Source organism: Homo sapiens, chromosome 1, assembly GCF_000001405.40.
Source record: "Homo sapiens chromosome 1, GRCh38.p14 Primary Assembly".
Classification (NCBI taxonomy): domain Eukaryota; kingdom Metazoa; phylum Chordata; class Mammalia; order Primates; family Hominidae; genus Homo; species Homo sapiens.
The window spans coordinates 107,977,638-107,996,417 of record NC_000001.11 but is presented as its reverse complement, the minus strand read 5'-3'; the positions used below and the strand labels follow the sequence as shown (position 1 = coordinate 107,996,417).

The window sequence follows — 18,780 nt, the reverse complement described above, 5'->3', positions numbered from 1 at the left end:
CACTATTCTGGATATATGTGCTTTTCACAACAAGGGAGGACTGCAGAGCAAATACTAAATACAATCTCATGTCCAGTGTGGAGGCTAAGGAGTGTTCCATAGATCATCACTTTTGTCTTAGCACAACTACTGAAATAATGAAAAAATTAAATGATTCTTGGGGAATCCTGTAGTGCCTTGCTCATACTGACCATTGTTGTTTCCTTTGGCTACCTTTGACTGTTGTGTAAATGTCAGATTTCCCCTTGTGAGCTCCTTGGAAATGACTGAGTCTTTCTTTGTAATCACTCTGCCTAATAAATATGTAATGCTGATGAATGTCAAGATGGTATCATAAAACATTGAAACATTGTGTCTATGAAAATATTTATATTTGTTGAATGAATGAATTCATAAATGCACACCCCAGGCAAGGACTGGGAGATTATCTTATTCTAACTCATTATTTCATTGCTGCAGCATCTGATGCCAAAGAGGTAAGGTCTTGCCATTGGTCCCAAGGCTGACTAGTGATGGAACTGGGATTCAAATACAAGCATTTTGCCTCATTGCCCTTGGCACTTGTTTTTATCTACATGGTAGTTTTGGGGTTGGGAAGGAAATGAAGTTTTCTTTTTAAATAATTATATAGACTAACCTACGCAGTCAAGGAACTATGTGATGGAGTTTTCTAGATAGTCCCTTCCCCTCACACACACACAAAAAAAAAATCAACTTTTTTTCAGTTTATTACCTAAAAACTTAGGGAAATGAGTACATTTCCCTGCCTAAGTAGGATATCCTGAACATAATTGAATCTTTCTTCAATAATTTAAAATCTCACAATGCTTTGGGTTTATATCAGAAATCCTTGTTACCACAGTGTAATGGAATTGATTTAGGAAGTTGGGCTAATTATTTTACCTCATGGCACATTTTAAAGATTAAAAACAATCATAGGTCCTAGTTGTTTTGTCCCCACTTGTTATCCCTACAGGCTGAGAATGTGATGGTGGCAGAGAATGGAGATATGGTAGAGGAAGAATCATTTAATTCAAGATTTTAATTAGTTGGGTTCCAGCTAGTTTAAATTTGGTGCTCTGGGGCAGGGGGCGTGGCTTGGAGCCAGTCTCATTCTGTTGCCCAGGCTGGAGTACAGTGGCTCGATCTCAGCTCACTGTAACCTTTGTCTCCTGGGTTCAAGTGATTCTCCTGCGTCAGCCTCCCAATTAGTTGGGATTACAGGCATGCACTACCACACCCAGCTAATTTTTTTTTTTTGTATTTTTAGTAGATATGGGGTCTCACCATGTTGCCCCGGCTGGTCTCGAACACCTGAGCTTAGGCAATCCACACACCTCAGCCTCCCAAAGTGCTAGGATTACAGGCGTGTGCCACTGTGCCCAGCCAAATTTTTTTTCTATAATTTATGTATTACAGAGTAATCCCAGATACAGATCCATGTGAAGTAAAATAAATACATGTGAAATTTGGAGTAGAAAGAACAGAGATTTTGGAGTCAGACAGCCGGGGCTTTGAATACCAGCTTCACACTGTCTGTGAGACAGAGAACTGGTTATCTAATTTCTCTGAAGGTTGTTTTCTTTCATACAAGATGGAGATAATTATAAGAAGCTTGTAGATGCAGAGGAAGTAATATGCTCAGTTCATACTAGGAATTCTGTAAGTTTTGGTTCTTCAAATCCTCCACCCCTTGTCTTCCCAAGTAAAAGATAAGGTAGTTTTACGATGTAATGCCATATACTGTAAATAATAGGAGTAATATAACGTTGATTTTCTATAGAACTGATTGCTCAACTAGAGTGCTCCCTAAATTAATATTGCATTTTTTTTATTTTTAAGGGAATTACAGAGACTTTTAGACATTTGTAGAATTAAGACGAAATGTTAATAGTATATATTCTTTTGGTTCCATTAATATTGTCATTCTTGACTGAAAATGATGAATCTAACAAAATGGGAGATATTGAACAAAATTAATTCTACTTAACTTTTCTTTAGCAGACTTGAGGAGCTGCCCTTGGGGTCATGTGTGAGCTGCTAGCAGAAGCTTCAAAGCTGGATGAAATGAAGAGTGATACATATTTTTACTACCAGGCACAACCATCCCATCTTGCTGTGACCCTCCATGGGTTGCCTCTCTCTGGAAAGGTGTTAAAGGGGCAGGATTCCAGCTCGAGGGTGAAAGAGAGTCATTGGTGCCTAATCCATCCTGGAACAGCCACGTGGAATTTCTCTGTGGGGGAGAGAGGAGTACAGTTTCTATGACGATCACAGCTGCTCTGCCAAGACTGCCAGTCAGGATGCCGGCACTGCTAATTGCTATGCGGACATCCGTTCATTAGACTTTGACCTAGAATTACTGTTGTCTTTCACAAGGTAGGCAATGAATCATTGTGTTTGGCCCTTGCTTCGTCTCCTTCAGCCTAGGTTTGATTTGGATCAGAAATGCAATCTCTGCAGGTCATTACCTATCTTAGGAATGTTCCTAAAGTGCATCTTTTACAAAAGGCTAGGGTTTTATTAGAAAACAGAATATTAGTTACCAGTCTAAGGGCTTAGAGGGAGCTGGTTGTAATCCAGCTCTGCCACTCTGTGGTTCTGTGATCTTGGGCAAGTTGCTTGGCTCCTCTAAGCCAGTTATCTCATCAGTAAAATGGGGATAGCAATATATGTATTCTCAGGGGATTGCTATGAGGTGTGAGCAGGGATGAGTTGGAAAAAGTCTCTGATGCCTGTGTTGGCAACCGGAATGAGAGGGGGAAACTGGATGGAGTGATACCTAGATAACTGGCACTCAAGATCCACTCATGGCCAGCCACGATTTACATCACTTGGCTCTCTCCATTAATGTTGCATCCTTAGTAATTCAGTTTACTTCTCTTCATCCTTTATCCTAATCTGTGAAGAAACCTGTGACAATCAAACAGCAATGTCAATTCAAAACAAGCTTTGTTAGTTCTCTCAGTAACCAACAAAAAGTGTTCATTTTGGCCGGGCGCGGTGGCTCACGCCTGTAATCCCAGCACTTTGGGAGGCCGAGGCGGGCGGATCACGAGGTCAGGAGATCGAGACCATCCCGGCTAAAACGGTGAAACCCCGTCTCTACTAAAAATACAAAAAATTAGCCGGGCGTAGTGGCGGGCGCCTGTAGTCCCAGCTACTTGGGAGGCTGAGGCAGGAGAATGGCGTGAACCCGGGAGGCGGAGCTTGCAGTGAGCCGAGATCCCGCCACTGCACTCCAGCCTGGGTGACAGAGCGAGACTCCGTCTCAAAAAAAAAAAAAAAAAAAAAAAAAAAAAAAAAAAAAAGTGTTCATTTTGTTTTTGTAGAACTCCTATTTTAGATTTCAACCTTACTCCCAGAATTCTAGAGAGAGAGCTACAGATGTGGAGTGCTTTACTTTGGTTATGGAGTTGGAATACGGTAGGAGGAGGTAAATGCAGGTGTGTCCCACTTAAAGAAGTAAAACCAATGACTAAGAATAAACTTTTGGGGGGGGCTTCTAATAATATATGCCAGACACTGTGGACATAGAGACAGTTATAAAAACTGGAGTCTTCATGATGAGGAAACATGCCCGTCTAACTCTATCAAGGTCACCTAAGATTTGCAAAGAAGTGGGTCAGGTTTGAATCCCAGCTTCCCTACTTACCAGCTCTCTGATGTGAACTTCTCCCATGTTTGTTACCTGCAAAATTAGACGACACCTGTAGAGTGCTTAGCACAAGGTCTGGGACTCGAGGTAAACAATATTTTCTTATCCACATACCAAATATAAATATTGTTATTAGATTCATATATGAAGCCACTGGAAATGAGTGCTAGAGTTCCTCCAGGGAACTTTTAAGAGTGAGCTGAGAATTCAGCACCACTAACCTGTGGACCATTTCTGAAGGGGCAGTGTGACAGCAGAACAATTTCCAAGTGGAATTTTGTTGATGTTGAAAAAGCAATTGGACGTGAACATAGAAAAAAATATTTGGAAATTTCTATATTTTAAAAATGTAGTGCAAATACCCAAAGGAAGTTTAATTTTTTTGCTGAAGTTATATTCTGACTTTAAATGAAATGAGTTAATTTTCATTGTGTCCATCATTGTACCCCTGATGCTGGAGCCAACAATGCCATGACTCGCTGGAAGCAGCTGTACAAGTGGAGGGATTGAGCCTTGTGTTGCTAACTGTTGCAACTTGTGATTTTTTTCTCTGTGAACATGGATCTCCTCTAAACATGAGTATTTTATTTTGCCATAATACTATATCTACCTAAATGTCGAATGTATTTTTTTCTCCAGCTGCATCAAAAACAATTTTCAATCTCCCCATACCCCTTTTCTTCTGGTGCTGTTCTCTGCCACTTACGCAAGGGACCAGAGCACAGATCCTAAGAGTGCCAGGAACAGGCAACAAAGTCTCAACATGTTCCTGGTGTGGGAGGAGATTCTATGGGTGAGTTGTCTGCCACATCTGGGGGAGGCCTGGATGATGAAAGATGGCAGCTGTAATGATGAGAGAGGAGCCAGCTTCTGGGAGGCAGGGGCAGGCTTCTCTCTTACTCCTTCCACCTCTATCCAAATACCATTTGTGTGAATCAGCTGCCACTTGGCTTTAAGGGACGTCACTGCCAGATGCTCCCGTTCCCCCTTCTTGAAGCAACAGCCACCGCCCTTCTGACCCCTCCACATGCAGTAGAAGTCTTCTAGGGCCACTTAATGGTCATGGGGTGCAAGCATAGCAGCAGGCTTTTTTCTTCCACAGAATGTGTACAGGAGTTTCATAGTGACAATGAAGGAATTGGAGCAGTCCCTGGTTGCGTCAGTGAGCATCTTTGCTGGCACTCTCTCTAACTTTGTTGAGCACTTCATGTGCGTGGGACTCTGTGCTAAATGCGTTATGTGCAACATCTCATTTATCCTCACAGCAACCCTGTGAAATGGCTACTGGGCATCTCTGGGCTTCGCAGCTGTGGCAAAGGGGAAAGGAATTCAAACTCCAGGTCCACTGTGCTGTATGACTTTCCCTTTATAAACAATTACTCCAGAATGGGAGGTCCTGGAAGATCCTGCTGTTTGTAGGTCTGAATATGGAGGTTGTAGAAGACCCTGAAGAGTCCTGAGATTAGGGTCTCTTCCCAGCTATTGGAAGTGTGAAAGTTGTCAAAGTAATCATCTTCATTTTTCTTTAAGTACCTCTTATCTCCCTGAATACACACATTGTTTACTGTGGCTCCCATACTGCAATGCCCTTTTCCTGAATAAGCACCACTTTCTTTTAGAGAGGCTTTCTCTGTTGGTTATTTAGGTTGACAGAGGGCAACAGCAGTGATACAGAGGAGCCTCTGAGACACCCGGATTTCCCTTAGAACTCTCCCATTCTCTCTGGGGAAACAGCCAGTGAGGACACCAGGTCAGAAATGACAGCCTCCTGCAATGGCTGAGCAAGTAGCCTTCAATTCTGGCACTTGCTGCGGCCAATACTTCCATGTCTTTCCTTGTGGCTGCGGCCGGTTGCTCCAGGGTGCTCTGCCTCATCCATCTGATATTGCCCTAAATATTTCTTGAATGGCACCTTAGTGTATGGACTCCATCTTATTGTTCTGCCGGTACCTGAGTCATGGCGGTGACTCAGCTGGCCCATGGTACTGCCCTCTGACTGCTGTGCCTTGCTCATAATGCCTCTCATAACCTGAATTAGTGCCCAAGAGAGCCTCCATTGGCACATGTTTGCAGGATTTTCCATTCTATACAGTCTTCCACTGTCCCTTTCCTCTTCCTCATATGCCATTTTGAAGCAACTTGGAAATTCTAGTGAGCTTTCTAGAAAGCTATAAACTCGGTATCTCTGTCCAGGTTCCCCTCATCTGTCTTACCCTTGTGGCTGCCCTCCTGACGGTTAAACTAGATTCACAAGATATTGAGATGCATGAACTGCAATATATCATTTGGGATTTTTTTGTTGCAATCAGTGGAAACTATTCCTGGCTAACTTAACACAATGAAAAGGAGACAGATGGAGGGAAGGAGGGAGGAAGAGAGAGAAAGAGTGAGAAACAGAATCAACCCCAACAATTTCCTATTCTTCTGTCATTCTACCCAATATTTAATTTTTAGGAAACAGATAGGTCTAGCTTGAACCGTGTGTCCTTGATAGGAAACTTTTGCTGACTATCCCACCAAGACTGCATGCCACGGGGATAGGACATGGCCTAAAGGAGCCATTAGAAGAAGGGAAAGTGAGTGCTACACAGGGAACAACAAACACCCACCAAAGGAAAGCGGAGGTTCCTTGAGGACCTCCTAAAGCCTCTCTAGACGTCACCGTGAAGCCTTCTCTTAGATTTAGTTTCTTCATAGCCTAGAGTTCAGCTTGGGTCATGAAAATAATTTTCTCTAACAACAAAAGTTTCTCATGAATCATAGTTTTAACTCAAATTTTAATGAGGCCAGACATTTGTTTTTATGTATTTATTTATTTTTATTTTTAACTTTTATTTTAAGTTCAGGTTTACATGTGCAGGTTTGTTATATAGGTAAACTCATGTCACGGGGGTTTGCTGTATGGATTATATTTCATTATCCAGGTTCCAAGCCTAGTACCCATTAGTTATTTTTCCTGATCCTCTCCCTTCTCCCACTGTCTACCCTTTGATAGGCCCCAGTGTCTGTTTTTCCCCTGTACGTTTTCATGTGTTCTCATCATTTGGCTCCCATTTATAAGTGAGAACATGTGGTATTTCGTTTCCTGTTTCTGTGTTAGTTTACTAACGATAATGGCCTCCAGCTTCATCCATGTTCCTGCGATGGACATGATCTCGTTTTTTTTTACGGCTGCATAGTACTCCATGGTGTATATGTACCATGTTTTTTTATCCAGTGTATCATCGATGGGCATTTAAGTTTATTCCATATCTTTGCTATTGTGAATAGTGCTGCAGTGAACATACATGTGCATGTGTCTTTATGATAGAACAATTTGTATTCCTTTGGGTTTATACCCAGTAATGAGATTGCTGGGTTGAATGGCATTTCTGTTTTTAGCTCTTTGAGGAATTCCCACACTGTTTTCCACAATGGTTGGACTAATTTACACTTCCACCAACAGTGTATAAGCGTTTCTTTTATTCCACAACCTCACCAGCACATGATATTGTTTGATTTTTTAACAGTAGCCATTCTGACTAGTGTGAGATAGTATCTCATTGTAGTTTTGATCTGCATTTTTTAATGATTGGTGATGTTGAGCTTTTTTCATATGTTTATTGATCGCATGTATGTCTTCTTTTGAAAGGTGTCTGTTCATGTCCTTTGCCCACTTTTTAATGGAGTTGTGGAACTGTACGGTGGCATCTGTGTTCTGTGAAGAGTCTAGAAGAAGAAGGACTTTTAAGAATCTGTGCACTTCAGGGCCACATGCAGAGGATTTTTGTATATCCTGTTAGTTTAGATAGTATTAAAACGTTTAGACTGACATACTTAAGGCTGAGCCTCTATACCTCTCTTAAGTGTCCATGCACATTCATTTGCATTAGTACTTTTGCGTGGGGGCAGGTATGGCCTTGTGCTAAGAAACTATTAGACAACTGCCCTTCCTGAAGTCTCCAAGGATCTTGGCTATGGGTCTCTCCATCTCTGTTTTTATGAAGGCCCCTGTTTTCCCAAGCTAATTATAAAAAGGTCTCTTTAACAGCTTTTTTTTCCAGCTTTCTTCATCTGAGAAGGCAAGTACAGCAAGGTCTTATGTGCTGTATGTGTTGTCTCCTCTGAGGTAGCTATGGAATCTTGTTCTAACACATTTCATTAGAAAGTGAAATTTAGGCCGGGTGTTATTATACGTGGCTCACACCTGTAATCCCACCACTTTGAGAGGCCAAGGCAGGTGGAGTGCTTGAGTCCAGGAGTTCAAGACCAGCCTGGGCAACATGGCAGAACCCCATCTCTATATAAAACACAAAAAATTAGCTGGGACTGGTGGTATGTGCCGGTATCCCAGCTACTTGGGAGGCTGCAGTGGGAAGATCACTTGAGCCCAGGAGTTAGAGGCTACAGTAAGCCATGATTGCACCACTGCACTCCAGCCCAGGTGACAGAGTGAGACCCTGTCTCAAAAACAAAAAGAAAAAGAAAGTGGAATTGAGCATAAATTTTAAATTCTACTAAGGGTCCTCATTAGTGAGATGTCACCCTACACCTCATTGTAGGGTGGTTTCACCTAACAGGCATGAGCTTTAGGGCAGCCTCCTTGGGAGGCTCTAGGTTCTTTCATGGACCTTTTACAGTCCATCCCTCTCTATCTTTCTGGCCATTTTCAACTGTTAGTTTCACATAAGTCTCTCTCTTCACTTCGTACATCAAAATTTTGGCCCCTCCACAAACCTGACTGATCTCTGACTGTGTGTGTGTCCTTGACCTTCTGACTTTTTGTGTGTGCTGTTCTAATAATACCAATCTACCTACTCTCCCCTGCAGGTGAATACCTTCTTGCACCCCCTGCTTTCTCCCTCCTTGTAATGGTTAATATTGAGGGTCAACTTGATTGGATTGAAACATGCAAAGTATTGTTCCTGGGTGTGTCTGTGAGGGTGTTGCCAAAAGAGATTAACATTTGAGTCAGTGGACTGGGAGAGGCCGACCCACCCTCAATCTGGGTGGACACCATGTAATCAGCCATCAGTGTAGCTAGAATAAAGCAGGCAGAAGAAGATGGAAGAACAGACTTGCTGAATCTTCCTGCCTTCATCTTTCTCCCTTGCTGGATGCTTCCTGACCTCAAACATCAGACTCCAAGTTCTTCAGCTTTTGGACTTTTGGATTTAAACCAGTGGTTTGCCAGGTGCTCCCAGGTCTTCAGCTATAGATTAAAGACCGCACTGTTGGCTTCCCTACTTTTGAGGTTTTGAGACTCAGGCTGATCCACCACTGGCTTCCTTGCTCCTCAACTTGCGGATGGCCTGTCCTGAGGTTTACTTTGTGATTGTGTGAGTTACTTTTCTTTAATAAACTCCCTTTCATATGTACATATATCCTATTAATTCTGTCCCTCTAGAGAACCCTGACTAATACACTCCTTCTCTCCATCCCAGGCAGCAGGTCCTTCCCTCCCTCTGTGCCTGTGTAGCAATCTGAGTCCACCTCTACCCTGCCACTCCTTTGCTTATAATCATGCTTTTGGGCTGTCTTCCCTACTAATGAGCCTTGGCACATAGCACGTGGTCAGTAAATTTCAGTGCCCATAATGAGAAGTTGTTTAGGGAAAATATCATCAGCATAAATTCCTAGAGGTTCTGAAGGATCCAAGTCAATTATCAGAACCTAAAACTATTGACAACAGTGCTTTGAAATAAGATGCCTTGATTATGAAGGGCTTGGCGTTTCCCGTGTTAATTTTTTTTTTTCTGGTAATAAGTAGCATTTATTAAGAGCTCTGTTGGTTTATACCATATTAAATGAGTCTCTTGTCTGATCTGTGCTTGGAGGCCAAGAAACTAATGGAAACAAGTTCTAGCTGTTGGTACCATAAAGGTCATAATGATTATGCTAAAATCACAGTGTACTATTAAAGAAAGTGAACAACATATTGTGATTGTACTTCTCACTTTGCTGTTGGAGCTAACCCATCACTTTGTGGTTTACTACTGTGCTCTATGAAAGGAAAGAGAGCCCCTAAAAACTTGTTAGACAGAGACATCTCAAAGCATGAAACTGCAGAGAGCCTCTGAGTTAAATTTTGAAAACTGCTTCTTGAAATTTGTCAGGAAACCTTAGCTTTAGATGGAAAATTTCAGTATCCTCAAAAAGGAAGGAGAGAGAGCTAGTTTAGGGATTTACTACAGCAAAAGGGAATTCAGAGTCCTGTTTTGTTGTTGTTAATCTCTGATTCTAACATTTCTAAATATGACCTTTGGAAAATATTTTGTTGTCCTCATTTTAAAATGTAACCACTTTGAAAACACTAAACTATACCATTTAAAAAATGTTATGCAAACTAAAAATGCATTTATACTTTTTTAATTCAAATGTAGATTTCCTCCTCAAACTGGGAGATTCAACAATTTGTTAGTTTGAATTATAACTTTTGAGTATTAAAACATCTGATGTGTGGCTTCCATTTGTACTCTTGCTCAGGCCCCAAAAGTATACCAGGCAAGTCTGCTCTACCTAAAAATATTTTCCTTCTAGTTGTTCAGACTATAACAATTTTTCCGTCTCCTGACATGTGAGTTTACTTAAAGCAGGACATCCCAGGATTTAAGAGCAAAGTGGAGGTTTATAAATAACCAGAGTATCTGGATGCTGCTAAACTAATTGTTTTTAAACAATGACTATTGAGACCTTTACATATAAGATACATTAAAAATACAAAATACAACGATTGGTCTATATCACATTAAATGAGTCAAGTAGGTTTATAAAATGAATAGTAAAGATTATAAAAATCGGAGAAAACTATAATGAATGCTAAATGAAAAACTAAGTTATAAAATAGGGTGTATAGTAAAATGCCATTTTTATTTTTAACAGTATATATCACAAGAACAAATGGAAAGAGTACACACTAAAATGTAAAAGGTGGTTATATTACAAAGATGGAATTCCTGGTTATAGATAGATAAAATATAAAACGTAAATATAATTATATATCTTTCTGCATTGAGTGTATGTTACTTTTGTACAAATGAAATTTAAATAATTATACAGGAGGAAAATATTTGATTGCTAGAGTGGTAAGAGGCATTGGATTTCTTTTCAATCTTAATTATATGATTATAAAATGGTTATATTTTGTGCTATGTTCCACACAAAGAAAATATTTTTATAGAGTCAGATCTGTGGGATCCTGGGAGGTTTCTGCTGAGCTTTTACAGTGTATGTTTAATTTAATTTTAATTGTAAGGAAGGTCAAAGGATTAAGTCAACACAAATATGATGGAATAAAGAGAGCTTTTCATTTTATCTGGACCTCCTATATTGGGATGTTTGCTTGCTTTTTGTAAGGAAGTTAGTGGACTCAGGTCGAATTTCACATAGCATAAAGAATATCAAGATTTCCACCATATTTTATTAATTTTGTGGTCATTAAACAAAATGGTGAAACATTTTTAGATGGGCATATTTTCTGTAACTGTTTCACAGATTTTTCTGAAATTTGGGCAAAGGTTATAAAGATGTTATTTATTGAGTTCTGTAGTTCACAGACCCACTAGCATTTTCATGAGTGGTTATAAACAGATTATTCATCAGTTTTCCATTGTTCTTATTAAGGGTATTAAAATACTTAGATTTAAATTTTTTGACTAGTCATCTCTATCAGCCCCTAACAGAGTTCATGCAGCTTTATAAATTAGTGACATCTTCAGTCATTGCATTTATTGGCTAAATAATTTTTTATAAATTGGATTGTCTATGAACGTAAAAGCTTTTGTTCTTAAAAAAAAAAACAAAAAAAACCTGAAAAGTTCTCAAGCTTTCCTGATAGACCCTTACACTGGCTCTCCTGTTAGAGACACCTAAACTGGCTGACACAAGGGAGAGCCAATAAATTAATTAGTTATTTAGTTTATTAATGTTGATCATTCAAAAAAAAAAACACCATTTCCCAACTTCCCCTTGAATCATTGCAATATTTAAAATTGTCAGTACTTTCTTTTTAAGCAACCAGCTCTTTGTGAATATCTAATGTTCCTATACTGGGCCCGGTTGGAGCTCTTGGTAGGTGTGGTGAGTACAAAGCAACAAGAGTCAATCATAAGGAGAAATCACGTGTGTGTCATCAGTTGATCTTAGATTCTGGCATCAGATAGACCTGGGTTTGAATGCCTGTACTGCTACTTACTGGCTTGGGTTCATGACTGTGGCCAATTTAACTAATCGTCATCAGCTTTAATTAAAAAAGCTTAATAAAATCCGCCTTCCAGAATTGTAGTGAGGAATCTGAATAATACATATGACTGCCTGGCATATGGTTAAGGTAAGCCAGGCAGTGGGACCAGAATGAGAATGACATAAAAGCAGCTATGGAGAGGGAAAGGAAGAAGAAAGGCTATGGTTAAAACCTAAGGCAGTTAATAGTCAAATGTGAACAGCAAACAATTACCAGGGAGTTTTCAAGGGCCTTTTGTATTTTAAAGACCTTTATGCAAGTAACTGTCATCTTTTCTTTTCTGGGGTTATTAGTCCTTGTTCTTTAGTCTTTCCTCCTAATCATCACTTTCCAAACCTTTAATTATCATTATGGCTTCTCTCCACAGTTTCATATTTCTCTCTCTGGTTGTAAACCCCAAGAGTTTGAACAGTACTCTGTGCCCATGGAGAGGGTGGGAATAACAGTGGCATCATACTTGTTTTCCCCTTTACTTTCTAACTATTTAAGAGAGATAGAAGCGAGTGGTAGAGACAAGTAAATACATGTGTCTTGGCTGGGCGCAGTGGCTCACGCCTGTAATCCCAGCACTTTGGGAGGCCGAGGCGGGCGGATCACCTGAGATCAGGAGTTTGAGACCAGCCTGACCAACATGGAGAAACCCCGTCTCTACTAAAAAAAATACAAAATTAGCCGGGTGTGGTGGCACATGCCTGTAATCCCAGCTACTCGGGAGGCTGAGGCAGGAGAATCGCTTGAACCCAGGAGGCGGAGGTTGCCATGAGATTGTCCCACTGCACTCCAGCCTGGGCAACAGTGAGACTCTGTCAGAAAAAAAAAAAAAAATACATGTGCCTTAATATATGCTACCGACAAAGCATGCCACAGGGAGCTGGTGTATTGATGAATGCAAACGCTTTCAGCGTGCCTACTGTGTGCTGGGCACTGTTCCAAGTACTTTACACATATTAACTTATTAACCTCATAGCAACTCAATCCAATAGGTTTCAATAGGGGTCTACTTTATCCCCACTCTGTAGACCAAAGCACAGGAAGATGAGATAACACATCCAAATTTCCAGAACTAGCAAGTGACAGAACCAGGAGTTGAACCTAGCCAGAACCTAGGCAATCTGGCTTCAGTAAAGGCATCTGTAACCACTATGCTATGCTACATCATACTAGTTGAAGGCAGGAAGTCTTGAGTACTTGAATAAAGAGTTTGAAAAACGTGTAGAAGTTTATTTGACAGGCTAAGAATGGGAGTGAGAATGAGTAGTTTTAAGATGAAGGACAACGGCAAATAGAAGGTTGGAGTAGAAAAGAGCCAATGGTCTCTGCTGTATTGGAGAAGTGGAAAATAAGGTCGGATTGATGAATTGGAGCCAAGTTATTTCACACAGTGTATTATATTATCATCTTTTATGAAGAGTCTACAATAGGGTAGGCTACGAGGAACCACTGAAGATTCAGAGCTAGGAAATCTGATGAGAAGTAGACAGCGTGGGAAGAATGAATTTAACAAAGTTACAGACCATGCCTAAGAGGATAAGGCAAAGATGAAAACAAACAGACAATGCTTGGTGATAATTTGGAGGAAAACAATGTAGTCAAATTTTCCATAATTTTGAGTCTAATGGACTGAGAGAGAGTGGGAGTGCCTATAGAACCAGAATTTTGCATTGGGACAAACTTTACAAATAATCTAGCCCAATTTACTTAGTAGGAAAACAACAAAACACAACAAAACAAACAAGCAAACAAAAACCCACCAAGATCCAAGAGATTATCCCATGTCATACAGCCAGATGTAAGGGAGGCTGAACTAGAACCCTGGTTTTCTGCTCTCAGTCTCCTGTGTTTACCGTTATATTGAGCTGGTGGACTCTTGCTGGAACTTACGACATTGCTTCAGCAAGCAAACATCATTATGACCAGCTATTTGGCTAAAATGGGAAGGAAATTGAGAAGAGGAGCCATTCCGTGGGAAATTTCCTGGGTCATTTTTGGATGGAAAGGGTAGAACTGGGCTGCACACAATTATTTTGTACTTACAATTTCTCTGAATATAGAAAGGGAATGTCAACTCTGCTGTTAAAGTTCTTTCTCAGAATTTAGCAGATTTGGATGAATACTGATGAAAACCAGTTTATTTTTAATTTTTATTTATTTATTTATTTGAGACAGGGTCTCACTCTGTCACCCAGGCTGGAGTGCTGTTAAAGTTCATTCTTGGAATTTGCAGATTTGGATGAATACTGATTAAAACGAGTTTATTTTTTATTTTTGTTTATTTAATTTTTTTTTTTTTTGAGACAGGGTCTCACTCTGTCACCCGGGCTGGAGTGCAGTGGCAAGATTGGAGCTTGCTGCAGCCTCGACCTAATGGGTTCAAGTGATCCTCTGGCCTCAGCCCCTTGAGGAGCTGGGACTACAGGTGTGCACCACCACGCCTGGGTAATTTTTGTATTTTTAGTAGAGTCGGGGTTTTGCCATGTTGCCCAGGCTGGTCTTGAACTCCTGGGCTCAAATGATCCACCCGCCTCAGCCTCCCGAAATGCTAGGATTAGAAGTGTGAGCCGCTGCACTCAGCCAAAACCAGTTTATTTTTAAGGGAGAGCATTTTTTCTTTTCACTTCCAGAGATTCAGAACTTTAGATATTATGCATGAAATTTCACTAAGAATCGAAATGATAACTATTCACATAGAAACTGTGCAAAACTCACTTTCATTTAGGGAGTATATTAATTACTAATCACTGTATATCCTGATAATTCTTCCTAACTCTCTGTTGAATTTCTGATGCACTTTATATTCTGAGATAATTAGGTAGAGTCAGAAGATAGCAATGTGTAATCTTTGTTCTATTGGATTAATTTATTACTTTCCTTCTACATCGAAGCCTCAGGGTTTAAAAAACTTCATAATTGAATATTTATTCCTTATTTAATTGAAGTTACAAATTCCGCATCTAAAATAAATCAAGATAAGGTAATCCATGTTGACATGAAAGTTTTCTTTAAACATGTGTTGGTGGGAATTTGGGGGCACCGGTTTTACTTTATGGGAAAAAACCCTTTTGATCTCACTCCGTGAACTTTATAAATTGTAATGTGAAACCATGTTCTTGATGAGAGCCTAACTGCTGTAGAGCCACGAGAGCTACAAAATCGATTTTTATGTTTCAGTGAAATGGATTTTACTTTTCTTGACCATTGAGCAAAATCTCTCTGTTCTACATTGAAATGAAATATATTATTCGGTCACTTCTTCTTGCAGTTGAAAACATCTCTGTCTCTTGTTAAAAGCAGTTTTTAATAGCAGAGGAATTGCTTCCTTATTATACAAAATGTATGAAAGATAAGGGGAAGAGAAAAAAGAAAATAAGAGAGTAGCAATTGCCATATAAATTTTTAATAAAAGATTTAAACTTCTGACTCCCTAAAAATTAGAAAAAGAACCAAGCTTCAAACTGAGAGCAGCATTTATTTCTAATATTAAACATAATGACTGTGGGTAACTATTTTTCCCCTGGGAGCCTCAGTGAAGTAAACCATTTACTTTTCATCGGTGCTTCTGGAAAGGAAATATTATTTCATTTGAAATCATTCATTTTAAAATTATTTGACTTGGACTTTAGCCCTGTTATTTTTGTAGCATAAAATAATATTTTTAAAGAAATATTTTTTAGGTTTGATTTGATTCATCATTTTCTTAATTGGAAAGATTCCTTATAATTTTATAATTAATGTTGGTTAAAAAAGAAAAGAAGATGTCTAGATAGGTTAAACAGGGAGTCTTCCCTAAATGAGGCTGAAATTATTAGCTCAAACATTATTAGGAAAATAATAGAAATGTTTATGCCTAAAAGTATATGACTCAAAAAAGTATCCCTACCAAAAATGTATCAGCAGGGCTAGGTAGGTATCCTTTTAAGCACTATACTTTTCTTAAAAAAAAATTGTCTTAGATAAACAGAATCCAATTGAATACAAGTGGGAATATTTCTTTGGTTTTTAAAAAGGAAGGTATAGAATGATTTGCTCTAGATTTTCATACATGGGTGGGGACAGTGTGAGGACCGGAGGACCTGCCAAAATGGAAGCGAGTTCTCTGAGTCCATCACCCTATCTTTCTTGAAATTCTCTCCTATCTTGATTTCTGAGCTACAGTGTAACCTGTGTACTAGAGGAAAGAAAGAAGTATTTTCTGTGCTGCTTTAGTCATAATTTTGATTTTAAATTCTCCTCTCTGGGCTCAGATTTTGAGATGGGTTTAGAGAGAAGTGCAAATGCGTACAGAGATGGGTGAGAGTTTCTTGGAGGTAGGTGTCATTCTTCCTAGTGGCACTCAGAGAATAAGAGGAATTGTTCCAGCAGGGAATAGCATGAGAGCAACTACAAGGGTCAGGGACCTTGGGAGGGAGGAGAGAGCACTGAGGTATAATAGCAATGAGGGGGTTCGTGTCATCAGTCTTAACAGGAAGAGAGGCTGCTCAGGGAACTGGAAATGTGGCTTGTAATGCCACTGACCCTGTGGCCATTTACATAAATGTAGGTGCTGTTCTTACCAGGTAGGGGAGAAAGTGCAGCTTTGGACACAAAGTTCCAATGTGCACATGGCCAAAAGGCAATCACAAGGATAACAAATACATTCTCTACAGCTAGGAATAATAGCATGCTTTATTTTGGATGTGTACTTTCAGAAAGCATTAGATAGTGAACAAAGTCAGAAGGAAATTGCAAACTCTGTGAAGAATAAGATTTTTGTCTGTCTTATTTACCCCTAACTCTCTAGCAATAGAAAAAAAGGGTTGTCTATAAATATTGACCCATAAATGAAGTAATTGTCACAGACGAATTGGAATCCTAGAAGGGGAACGAATGAATTCGGACAAGGAAAATCAACCCTTAAAGCAGAATCAAGACCTGTTTATAGCTGTTGCTATCAGAGCTCTCCTAATCTCTGGGGAGGAGGAATTATACTTCAACAAGACCACAACTGTATGAAACCTATGTAATAGGCCTAAACTAATATTTCATGAAGCAGGTATGGTTTGCCACTAAGGTGCCCCAAATATTTTTCACTTATTTCTTTTTTCCATTAAAGATCAAATTTAAAGAACATTTTTGGGCTCTATAAGTCAGATATTGAATCAGGGTTGGCCCCAAGTGATTATCCAGAAATTGCTACAGAAATGACATGGCAGTGGTTTCTACCCATTTAGCATCAGTCAAAGGCAATTGTATAAAGGGCATCCTCACAGGGACTGACACTAAATGATCCTCTGGTGGGCAGTGATCTGAATTAGGGTGATCCCCAGTGACAATCCCTCTAGGGTTTTCATAACTCCTCTGCCTCCTCTTCTCCTCTCACCCGTTCACTGTGAGCAGTCCTCGGAATCTCAGTTATTATTTTCCAGTGAGTCTTACCTTTGATCACGTGGCTATCACTGTTTCAATGATTTCCTATGCTGACGCCTCTGAACGTAGCATCCCCACACTAACTCTCCCCCAAGCACTGATCTCGTATCTTCCACTATTTTCAGTAAAACTCAGTATTGCTGAATTCTTCTAGCTACCCAGTTACAAAACCACAGTCATTTTTAATTCATTCCTCCCTCTTTTCCCCACCAAGTCCAGTTGATCCTACGTCTCTCAAATCTTGATCCTTTTCATCTTATGGCTGATTTGGTGTAGTCATTTATTAACATATCACCCTGCCTCTTGAATCTCTTTTCCAGATATGCTGTGGCCAGAATTTTCTTCTTCTTCTTCTTCTTCTTTTTTTTTCCTGAGATGGAGTCTTGCCCTGTCACCCAGGCTGGAGTGCAGTGGCACCATCTCAGCTGACTGCAACCTCCGTCTCATGGGTTCAAGTGATTCTCCTGCCTCAGCCTCGCAAGTAGCTGGGACTACAGGTGCGTGCCACCATGCCTGGCTAATTTTTTGTATTTTTAGTAGAGATGGGGTTTCACCGTGTTAGCCAGGATGGTCTCGAACTCCTGACTTTGTGATCTGCCTGCCTCGGCCTCCCAAAGTGCTGCGATTACAGGCGTGAGCCACCGTGCCCAGCCCAGAATTTTCTTTCTAAATTACCACCTTGACCATATTTCTCTCCTATTTAAAAACTCCTGGTGACTTTCTGTTACCCCCATTCAATCTTGCCTTTGAGAATTTAAGTGATCTGATCCCCCAAGCCATCCAATATGGGCCTCTCTTGTCCAGCCAGTCTGCTTTTTATTCCTGAGTTCTCCAGAAATAATTTGTTGATTCTGAATGTTATGTTTTTGTTCATGTTATTCTTCACTTGGAAAGTCCTTCCTTGCTGAAGGCCCAGGTCAAGTTGTATCTCCCCCATGAAAATTTTTAAAACTGTTTCATTCTTTGATCTCCTACTTTTTATACTTATCATCTACTTTTTTTTTCCTTTTTTTAGAGACAGAGTCTTGCTCCATTGCCCAGGCTGGAGTGCAGTCGTGGCATAATTATAGCTTGCTGCAGTCTCAAACCCCTGGCCTCAAGCGATGCTTCCACCTTGCCTCCCAAAGTGCTGCGGGATTGCAGGCATCAGCTACTGTGCCTGGCCCTGCTGTCAACATTTTGGTCCTTGCTCACAGGCCACTTTGAAATATGATTTAACTGGTTCATCTTCTTGTTTTAGTTCTCAGCATAATACTATATGAATACGAAGGACCCCAATAAATATATGTTAATGCAATGAATACAACTATGGTTAAATGGAAAGCAAACCCTACTTGGAGTTACGTATTTCAGATTTGGTTCTCAGCTCTGCTGCTCCACAGATAAATGACAATGAGAAAGTCACTGTTCCTCACTGGTTCTCAATTTTATTATTTTAAAGAATCACCTGGATCACAGGGCAAAGTCTGAACAATTAAAAAGATACTGCAACTTTGGT

At 40.0% G+C, this 18,780-nt stretch overlaps 1 long non-coding RNA gene across 1 annotated transcript in view; it reads right to left on the bottom strand.

Moving 5' to 3' along the window:
* Positions 1-1,810: 1,810 nt before the first annotated feature.
* Positions 1,811-18,780, bottom strand: part of VAV3-AS1 (VAV3 antisense RNA 1) — a 30,165-nt gene continuing 13,195 nt past the window's right edge. The window contains exons 2-3 of the long non-coding RNA NR_046653.1: positions 2,783-2,913; positions 1,811-2,236 (exon numbers count right to left, since the gene is read on the bottom strand). This is a non-coding gene — a long non-coding RNA (VAV3 antisense RNA 1). The remainder of the gene's footprint in view (positions 2,237-2,782; positions 2,914-18,780) is intronic.